Source organism: Homo sapiens, chromosome Y, assembly GCF_000001405.40.
Source record: "Homo sapiens chromosome Y, GRCh38.p14 Primary Assembly".
NCBI lineage: Eukaryota > Metazoa > Chordata > Mammalia > Primates > Hominidae > Homo > Homo sapiens.
The window spans coordinates 24,138,356-24,148,130 of record NC_000024.10 but is presented as its reverse complement, the minus strand read 5'-3'; positions in this window follow the sequence as shown (position 1 = coordinate 24,148,130).

Below are 9,775 nucleotides of genomic sequence, written 5' to 3'. Positions count from 1 at the left end.
AAGTCTGTGAATCCCGATACTAATAACTTGGCAATTCAGTTTAAGGTCCTCTTCAGAAGGACAGTTAGCTCAAAGCAATCACATTCTTCCCAGGCCTCTTAAGAAATACTCCAACCCCAGAAAAGGCCCTTCTGTCTGGTATCAGGAGCCATGGGCCACAAACACAAATCCAATAGCATTTCAGCCATTTACCTCCCAAATCATCCCCTCCCTGAAGTTCTAACTAGAGCAGGAAAAAATAATGAAAACACCACCTGCAGTCACAAATCCTCCAATTTCCTGGCCAAGATTTCATATTCCCTTCAAGATACCTCCCAAAGAGGACATGACAAGGGAGGGGCACAGAGGGTGCTACAGGTACTGATAAGGTTCTATTTCTTTTTTCTTTTTATTTTTTGAGATGGAGTTTCACTCTTCTCACCCAGGCTGGAGTGCAATGGTGCAATCTTGGCTCACTTCAACCTCTGCCTCCTAGGTTCAAGTGATTCTCTCACCTCAGCCTCCCAAGTAGCTGGGATTACAGGCACCTGCCACCATGCCTGGCTGATTTTTGTATTTTTGGTAGAGATGGGGCTTCGCCATGCGGGCTGGTCTGGTCTCAAACTCCTGTCCTCAGGTGATCCACCTGCCTCGGCCTCCCAAAGAGCTGGGATTACAGGCATGAGCCACCACGCCCAGCCAAAGGTTCTATTTCTGAAGTTTGGTGTTGCGCATATGTTCATATGATTTAATGTTTTTTTAAAAAAATGGTATCTTCCTGTTTTGTGTGTGTGTGTGTTTTTTGTTGTAGGCCTGTGTGCTTCATTCATTCACCCATATGAATCCATAAAGAAGTAGCCATTAGCAACTTCAGTCAATATATACTGGATTCATGCTTCAGGAAGACAACTCAGTTGACAACCACAACAGTTTCTATGATAACAAAACTGAGAGAAAATACTAACATTAGGGTCATTTCAAGACAGTTCAATCATAAGATATATCCCCAAGCAAAAATACGCACATGTAAAAGCTAAGTAAGAAGCTTTTAGAAAACTACTACCATCCTTAAAGTACAACAAAGTATTCTTTTACGTCTGTGTGCTTCATCAAAATACTTCATATAGCCATAGATTTTAAAACATTACATCTTATCTAGATTCCATATTAGACCATTAACATTTTTTCTAGATTCCATTCTTATTCTTTTGTAACCTTTTAGTATCTTAAAAGTACTTTATTAAATATAACACATTCAGAAAAGTACATAAAATATACCTTAAGGTAGACCTTAACAAGTTATTCTAAATTATTTGCTCATGTAACCACCAACCTAGTCCAGAAATATATTACAGCCAGTATCCAAGAAGCCCACAGATGTACCTTTCAGTTCACACCTCCCTACCTCCCACCTAGATGGACTCCTTACCCTACCCTGTGTGTAATCGCCTCTTTTTTCTTGATAGTTTTACTGCCCAAGTATGAATCCATAAAGAAGTGTTCCTCAGTTTTCTTTTATGTTCTATGGCTGTTTGGAGGGCAGCAGACCATTATAATAGGTCAGATTTTCTTTCACTCTAAGGACCAATTTTCACTCCACTGCAGGCGATATTGCCTGCGCTAAGAATGTATGCCCTAACCAACATTAGTTTTGCCTATTTTTGAACTCTATATAGAGGAAATTGTACAAAATAGGTTTTGGGGATCTGGTCTCTTTTGCTTAACATAGCGTTCAGGATTCACTCATCTTGTCCCACATGACTGTAAGCCATTTTATGAATACCACAATTCTCCATTTTATTGGAATGAACATTTGGGTTATTTTCTGTTTGGGGTTATTATAAATGATGCTGCTCTGAACATTCCTGTGTCTCCTGGCACATATGTACTCATTTCTTGTGTGGTATATATCCATGAGATTCCTGAACCATAGGGTATGAGTATCTTCCACTTTACGAAACTGTTTTCCAAAACACTTGTACAAATATATACCCCCATTCATAGGATATAGAGTCTCATAAAAATTTTCTTACCTTAAAACATAAGCAAAATGTCTCCTATCTCTTCTTCTTCTTTTAAGATCTGAAGATCACTGTGTAAAGGACTATCAGGGTCAACCTTCAGAATTCCAAAACAAAAAACAATTCAAACAAAAAGATTATTATTATTATTTGTATTAATTTTACTAACTCAAAAATGAACCAATCTGAAAGCTAAAATACAGCACCTAGGGTAATTTCCAGAAAGAGGAGACCTTAAGCTGCTTTATATCCCCAGGAAAACTAGAGGCCACTATAGCTTCCAGCTCCTTTAGAATAAATGTCCCAAAGAGATTATAATAGCCTAAATCTAATCTAATAAGGGGGTTCAGAGTTTGCAGTCATTCTAAAGGAAAACAGTCGCATGTATATAATTTTCTCAAGAATTCAAAAAAAGTTTAATATGCTTTCCTAAACTTGTATTACTAGCCAAGTTGTTCAAGGAGAAAAATTTGCCATGGACAGAGCTGTCAAAAAAGTTAAATCACCAAAAAATTGGTATTTTTCTACAACTGTCCTACATACACATATATAAATATGTATCCCACCTCCCACTCTCCTTTTTTGTTTGTTTGTTTTATGACACAGGGTGTCTCACTCTGTCACCCAGGCTGGAATATAATGGTGCAATCACGGCTCATTGCAGCCTTGACTTTTCCAAGCTCAAAAGATCTTCCTGCCTCAGTCTCCTACCACCCCTAGTAGCTGGGACTGTAAGTGTACTCCACCTATATATTTTAAAAGTAATAACATAACTACCTCCACAATAAGAGTTGATTATGCTGCTTTCAAAACCTGGGGAAAAAATCATAAAATCAACTTGGCAATCATTATCTGTATATTGAAATGTATTATTTGTATTAAATTATCAAGCAATATTGCTCAAGCTTTTTGCCAGAAGATAAAAATCACGCAAATATTCACTCTATCAGGAAGATGGCAAAATAAAATTCCAATGGACCTATAAAAACAATTTCTTTAATTCCAAAATACAAGCAAACTAATCCTATCTTACTCCCTACATCTTTTGGAACTTGATTACATTTGAGTTTCACAAAATAAAGCTAGTAAACATTTCCATTTCTGTCCAGTTTTAAGAAACAACATTTATAATCTGACAACAGAAAAGAACAAAAGAATGATAAGAAGAACAGGGATTTAGAGATCCTTACCTGTCTTATAACTCTGTGATCTGTATAAGTCCCTGAAATCTTTCTTAAGTCTATCTGAAGCTTGCACTGACCCAGACACTGCAGCCTGAAACACAAAAGCTGCTGTTTACCAGGGTCTACTGAGCCAAATAATTTAAAGATTTAAGGTATTTCAACCTGCTCTAAAAGATTACAGTAGCCAGGCATGGTGGCTCACACCTGTAATCCCAGCACTTTGGGAGGCTGAGGGGGGGTGGATCACTTGAGGCCAAGAGTTTGAAACCAGCCTTGCCATCAGGATGAAACCCCATCTCCACTAAAAAAATACAAAAGTTGGCCGGGCATGGTTGCATGTGCCTGTAGTCCCAGCTACTCGAGAAGCTGAGGCAAGATAATTACTTGAACCTGGGAGGTGGAGATAGTAGTGAGTTGAGATGGTGCCACTGCACTCTGGCCTGGGCCACAGAGTGAGACTCCATCTCAAAAGAAAAAGAAAAGAAAAGAAAAGAAAAAGATTACAACAAAAATGGATCACCACTCAACAATTTAAGAAGTAAAAGGAAAAAGTCCAATTAAATGAAGCATTATGAAATTTCAAGGGAATATAAAACTAGACACAAGTCTGGTTCATTTCCATTTTCCTATCACCTAAAAAACTCTAGCCAACATGTTCATACCACCATGGACTCCACGATAGCATAGAATTCAGTATGAGTCTATTTCAAACCCCAGCAATTTTTGAGAATACTCAAGATGACAAAATATTAAGTAAAATAGGCTTCCATTCATAAGACTGCAAGCAAGAATATCACACAGATGGTCTAGTTCACACATGAAGACACTGAGAACCATGTGTGCCTACATGCAACTGGTTTCAGTTTTTCAGTGCAGGGACTTCTCTAAAGATGAAAACACATTGATATCTTATCCTAAGACTAAATAGAAATGGAACTACTTTTTGGTCATGTGCAACTAAAGCTTTTAAAGACTGCACTAGAATTTGAAGGGGAAAAAAATCAAGTTTATAAAAATATTACCTCCTAGCTATATAACCCTGAACTAATTTCATATCTATAAAATGTGAGTTTTTCCTATCTCTAAAGTATAAACAGCACCTATTTCACACAGTGGCTATGATGACTAAATGAAAAGATCTATAAAGTATTAAGTATGAAGTATTTAGCATAGTATCAGTCATACAAAATTATTCAATAATTTTTACTTGTTTTGAAGATAACTCAAACTGGACTTGATCACAAGACACAGAAAGTACAATAACATTAATTAAAATGCTACAATCTTAGTTTTTTAAATAATCAAAATATGGGGATTAACTAAATTTATTTGCTGTATGAAAAATTACCAATTAAATTAATATACAAATAAGATTGAAGGAGGGAGAGTTACCTATCTGATTGCAACACTTGACATCTGCTTGCTTAACAATTCATTCCCTGTTTTGGAGAACCTGTGCCCAAGACAAAGTAACTGGTCCTCGGATATTGTGGAGTTGGTAAATAGCTCTAATACAAGGCAGGAAGCAGTAAGTGTTCAGACAATCATTTGATGTTTCCCTACTCTGTCTAAGCATTTTATGAGTAACATGCATCATTTTAATTTATTTTTCATAGCAACCATCCAAAAGATATGTACTGTCTATCCATATTTTAGAGTTGCACAAAGTGAAACCACAAAAGGTGTGTCTGTCACCAAACTCAGTGTTCCTTTCCCATCCTGCCACTTCACATAAAAGAGATGTTAAGTCAAAAGAGAAACCCTACTTTTGGTTTGGTCAGAGCAGGATGGATCAAAGTCAGCTTCATGAAGGAGAAATAATTTGAGTTGTGTTTTGTAGGAGAGAATGAACTTGAATATACAGATGCCACAGAAGGAAGGTAAGCAGAGAACACAGCATAGACAAGCTGGAAAGGGGCATATACAGGGATCAGCAGGTGGTTCCAGGATGTGAAGAGCAGATCAACAGGGTAAAAAGTGGCTATTCATGGATGAGAAAGATAACCTTGGGCAACAAAGCATATGAGTGTGGCTAGGCATGGTGGCTCATGTCTGTAATCCCAGCACTTGGGCAGGCCAAGGTAGTAGGACTGCTTGAACTCAGGTGTTCAAGACCAGAATGGTCAACATAGTGAGGCCTCATCTCTACTAAAAATAAAAAAAAAATTAGCCTTGTGTGGTGGGACATGACCATAGTCTCAGACACTTGGGAGGCTGAGGTAGGAGGACCACTGGAGCCTGGGAGATAAAGGCTACAGTGAACTATGATTGTGCCACTGCACTCTAGCCCAGGTGACAGAGCAAGACCCTATCTCAAAACCAATAAACATATGACTGAATCTACCACTAAGGCAGGAATGGAGGAGGAGAGCAGCTAAGATCAGCATGTTCATGAATTGCCTGGTATTAACTATAATTACTTAACCAAAAAGTCCAGATATTTATACACACATTTAAATGGCCTTGCCTTTCAGTCTTCCTAATTTTCTCTAATATTGCCCAATTTTCTTTTTCAGTTCCTTCATCTTCCAACTTCTTCTCACTAGTAGGCTCTTCTTTCATCTCATAGTGATCTAAGTCTTCTATATCCTGCAAAAAGAAGAAAAATATTAGCCAATTCAACCCACTTTCCTTCAGCAGTTTCTTATGCCAAAACTTAAATTATTCTTGACTCGGTGGGGGACAAGAAACAGAATATATCTATCCTATGGGGAGAGAGAAAAAGCCCCCACATTCCATTCAAGAGGCTCCCACCTTTTATATCCTGTAATTTATTTAAAAGCTAGACTCTGGGGAAAGCAGATTTAAAAGCTTTACAAAGTCACACCTATTATGAAATAAGCCATCATTTATTTATTTACTTCTTTAATTTATTTTATTTTTTTTTGTACGATAGAGTCTCACTCTGTCATTCAGGCAGGAGTATAGTGGGGCAATCTCTGCTCACTGCAACCTCTGCCTCCCAGGTTCAAGTGATTCTCATGCCTCAGTCTCCTGAGTAGCTGGGATTACAGACGTACACTGCCACGCCCAGCTAATTTCTTTGTATGTTTAATAGAGACAGGGTTTCAACATGTTGGCCAGGCTGGTCTCAAACTTATGACATCAAGTGATCTGCCCACCTCAGCCTCCCAAAGTGCTGGGATTACTGGCATCAGACACCACGCCCAGCCAAGCCATCTTTTAAATCTCTTCTCAAGAGGAACCTTTGAAACAGTTTAGCAGCAGGTGTCAAGAACCTTAAGTGTTCATAGTTTGTTCCAGATACTCGACCTCTAGAACTGTATTACAAGAAACTAGTCTAAGATGTAAACACAAATTTAGGCATAAGGATACCTATTTCAACCTTGCAACCACAAAAACAAACACAAAATCTGCATGTGCAAAAATAGCAAAACAGTTAATTCAATTCCATGAACTATTAAGAAGCCACTGAAATATCAACACAGCATAATTTCTCCTGTATCGAAAAACTTTGAAATGAAAAATGGATTACACAAAGGAATAGAAAGAATTTCAATTATGCTGAAATAAGCACAGAAAAAGACGAGAAGAACTTATATTGAAATCTTAATTTCAATTAATTTTAGTTGTTATCTCTGGAGACATTTGGTGCTTTACCCTAATTTCCAAGTTTATGGTTTTATGTAGTAAGCACCTATTGATGCTAATGACTTAAAAATAAGTTAGAAAAAGAATTTGATGTCAGGTGCTCAGGAGGCTGAAATAGAAGCATTGTTTGGGCCCGGGAGTTTGAGGCTGCAGTAAGCTATGATCATGCCACTGCACTCCACCCTGGGTGACAGCAACCCTATCTCAAAAACTAATAATAATTTCAAAAGAATTTGAATAATACCCCGCAGAACAACATCTTTATTCACATCATTCTGCTCCCTCCCTTCCCATACTATCTGTTCTTACATATATACAAACATATGCAGAATTGTTTAAATCCTAACTTTTTTCAATTACCTTATATTTCTACTTCAATTGCCAAAATCTCTAAAGGGGTAGTTTATGTTTATCTCGATTTTTTTTCCCAAGCCAGCTAATTCACCGATTTCTAGACCAGACTACTGAATACCTTCACTCAAACTCTGCCCATGAGTCTGTACTTCATGGAGCTCCCTTCTCCCTGTGTGCACTTTTCAGCCCTGATCTTCTACCCACATTTGTTTTCCCCACAATGCTCACAAATGCCTTTGGCCTGTATTTCCACCTGTACCTTCAACCTCAGTCATGTTCCCATCCACAAAACTTCTCCACCTAAGTATTAATCAGCACATCCCAAACAGAATTCAACATATCTTTCTAAAACAATATTCTCAGCACATGATTCCCTGCTTAAGGCCTTCTTATCAACAAACATACCAAATAGAAACATGCCTGTCTCAAATTCAAGACTTCTATCCATCTGTCTTTTCTGGACAATCTTGCTTTCCATGACTTCAACACATCAACTTTCCTTCTCAAAAGAAAAGCATCCAGTGCACCCAAACACACCATGTCCAAAGTTGCTCTGGGCCTGTTCCCACATTATTTTAGGAGCCTAGAATATCTGCTTTTCACCTGTCCTAATCTGACAACTCCGAAGTCCAGTCTCCTACCTTTCTAGATTTCCCTCAAAGTTGCGGTGCCTTGTTTTTTATCTTGTGAAGGGAAAATGAAAGTGTTCATGAACTTTAGTACAATGGCTGCCTGACCTATGGAAAAGGTTTAATGTTTTCATGCAGTTTATTCCATCTAAGCTAAACTGCATAAAAACATTAAAACAGACTTTCATTCTAATTGGACAATTTTAAGAAGTATTTTACTCCCAGACTCATAAAACAAGCCTACAGCCAGGCACAGTGGCACACACCTGTAATCCCAGCACTTTGGGAGGCTGAGGTGGTGGATCACTTGAGGTCAGGAGTTCAAGACCAGCCTGGGCAACAAAGTGAGACTCAAACGCTAAAATAAAAAATAAAAATAAAATAAAATAAAATAAAATAAAATAAAATAAAAAAATTAGCTGGACGTGGGGCACCGGCCTGTAGTCCCAGCTACTCAGGAGGATCGCTTGAACCCAGGAGTTCAAGGTTACAGTGAGCCATGCCAGCGCTACTGCACTCCAGCCTGGGTGACAGTGAAACCCTGTCTCAAAAAACAAACAAAAGGAAGACTACAACACTACTTTTTTAGTTCTGAAGCACTCTAAAGTACATTTTAGATTAATAATTTCCAAACCAAGAAAATGAAAGCCTAAATTAATTATAAGACCTCAAACAGAAAAAAATCTTTTAAAACAATCGATACCATGGAATTTACATACATTCTATTTGGTCAATGCAGAGACATAGATCTTTGTTCTGAAGTTCAAATTTAAATGTAAGGCTTCAGAGCCAGAAAACATCTAAAATTATACCCATGACTGACAACTGGCCTAGGCTCAATGTCTTTGGAATTTGCTCTACTAAATTTGCTACTGTTTCAATGTATTCCCTCCAAAATTCAACTGTTGCCAATGTGATGATATTAAGAGGTAGGACTTTTAATAGATGATTAGGCCAAGAGGGCTCCTTTCTCCTTCATGGGATTAAGGCCCTTATGAATGAGGCTTCACACATTGGACCAGCTTGCTCTCCTGCCCTTCTGCCTGCTACCATGTGAGGATAAAACAAGAAGGTCCTGAGACACCAAATGTTGATATTTTCATCTTGGATTTCCCAGACTCCAGAACTGTCAGAAAATAAACGACTGCTCTTCATAAATTACTCACTCTCTGTTATTCTGTCACAATACTATGAAACAGACTAAGACAAATTTGTTTGAATGATTTTTCAGCAAGAGACAGTTTCACTACTTCTGGCAGGTAGTCTCTAAAATATTCTGAAATTCTCCTTTTATGCAAACATAAAATTTTTTAAACTCAGTAGTGTCTCTTCCAAAAAATAACCAAATACAGGTTAAGTACTGATTAGTATTAAATATAATTTTAGTGTTAAAACTTAAGAGCTTTTGTTTTCCAGAAAATAAAATCCAAGAATTCAGATAAAAAAAATTTGCACAAAGGCATATCATGAGTTAGAGGTAAAGCCAGAATTTATAAATTACATTCCATTCCAAATAAGATGTGCTTTCAATTATTCCATATTAATAGTTATTTATAAAGGAGATTAGAGAATTACTCAAATGACCAAAAGAGAAGATATTTATGATATGTATATATATATATTTTTTTTTTTTTTTTTTTGAGACAGAGTCTTGCTCGTCACTCAGGCAGGAGTGCAGTGGCACGACCTTGGCTCACTGCAACCTCCACCTCCCAGATTCAAGCAATTCTCCTGCCTCAGCCACCTGAGTAGCTGAGATTACATGTGCCTACCACCACGCCCGGCTAATTTTTGTACTTTTAGTAGAGACAGAATTTCACCATGTTGGCCAGGCTGGTCTCAAACTCCTGTCCTCAGGTGATCCACCTGCCATGGCCTCCCATAGTGCTTGCTCTGATTTTTAGAGTTTCCAGTTTTTCTGCTCTGTTTTTTCCCAATCTTTGTGGTTTTATCTACCTTTGGTCTTTGATGACGGTGACATACAGATGGGGTTTTG